The sequence below is a fragment of the Homo sapiens genome, chromosome 13 (genome assembly GCF_000001405.40).
Source record: "Homo sapiens chromosome 13, GRCh38.p14 Primary Assembly".
Lineage (NCBI taxonomy): Eukaryota > Metazoa > Chordata > Mammalia > Primates > Hominidae > Homo > Homo sapiens.
Genome location: NC_000013.11, coordinates 20365431 through 20366885, shown reverse-complemented (window position 1 = coordinate 20366885; position 1455 = coordinate 20365431).

The window sequence follows — 1455 nt, the reverse complement described above, 5'->3', positions numbered from 1 at the left end:
TTTTTTTTTTTTTTTGAGATGGAGTTTCACTCTTGTTGCCTGGGCTGGAGTGCAACAGCGTGATCTTGGCTCACCACAACCTCCACTTCCCCGGTTCAAGCGATTCTCCTGCCTCAGCCTCCCAAGTAGCTAGGTTTACAGGTATGCACCACCACACCAGGCTAATTTTGTATTTTTAGTAGAGACAGGGTTTCTCCATTGGTCAGGCTGGTCTCAAACTCCTGACATCAGGTGATCCACCTGCCTCAGCCTCCCAAAGTGCTGGTATTACAGGCGTGAGCCGCTGCACCCAGCCAATTATGCTTTTAAGCAACACCACATCAACTTTCCTAGGGAAAATATTTTCTGATGAAAATTTTGATTTTGATTTTGATTTTGAGTGAATTTGGGTTTATGTTAGAGATAGATATCCAAAACACATAGAAAATTGTCTTACCTTCTCTTCCTTTTCCCAGGGGTGAGGAGAGTGACCTAGGGAAACTGCTAAACACCTCCCAAGGGTTTCTGCTGTCTTGCGCCTGAACTCACCGGTCAGCCCTCCTCATGTGTGACTGCGGTGTCTGCACAACCATCCTGGAAATAACTGAGCAGGCCAAGGTGCCTCAGGTCTAGCTTTTGTGGGCGGTTAAGACTGTGTCCACCAAGAGGAAGAAAAGGAGAACCTGGCTTCCAGGTTTTGGGGCATGGCCCTGTTACCCAATGCTGTTTGCTCCAGAGAAGCATGGAAACAAGAGGTCTGCATCTGTGCCAACGGTCATTAATTCCTGCAGTGAAGCCCAAGCCGCATGCTAGGGGCTCGTCTCCCGTCTTCATGCTTCATGCTGCACTTGCTTCTCTTCAGCCATTTACCTGAGAGATGCTTCCTGGTCATGTCTCCACAGAGCAGAGGGAGCCCTGCATGTAAGACCCCAGGCCCAGGCTGGATGGGCAAGTTTGCCGGCTCATTTGCAGGGTGACTTGGGAATAGGAGCAGCTGTTGCTCAACAGGAGTTTGAGTAAAGATCATAGTGCCTTTTCCTGCATAGTAGCTCTTTTTTTTTTTTTTTTGAGATGGAGTCTCGCTCTGTTGCCCAGGCTGGAGTGCAGTGGCACAATCTTGGCTCATTGCAACCTCTGCCTCCCAAGCTCAAGCAATTCTTCTGCTTCAGCCTCCCGAGTAGCTGGGATTACAGGCACCTGCCACCATGCCTGGGTAATTTTTGTATTTTTTAGTAGAGATGGAGTTTCAACATGTTGGCCAGGCTGGTCTCGAACTCCTGACCTCAGGTAATCTGCCTGCTTCAGCCTCCCAAAGTGCTGGGATTACAGGCACCTGCCACCATGCCTGGGTAATTTTTGTATTTTTTAGTAGAGATGGAGTTTCAACATGTTGGCCAGGCTGGTCTCGAACTCCTGACCTCAGGTAATCTGCCTGCTTCAGCCTCCCAAAGTGCTGGGATTACAGGCACCTGCCAC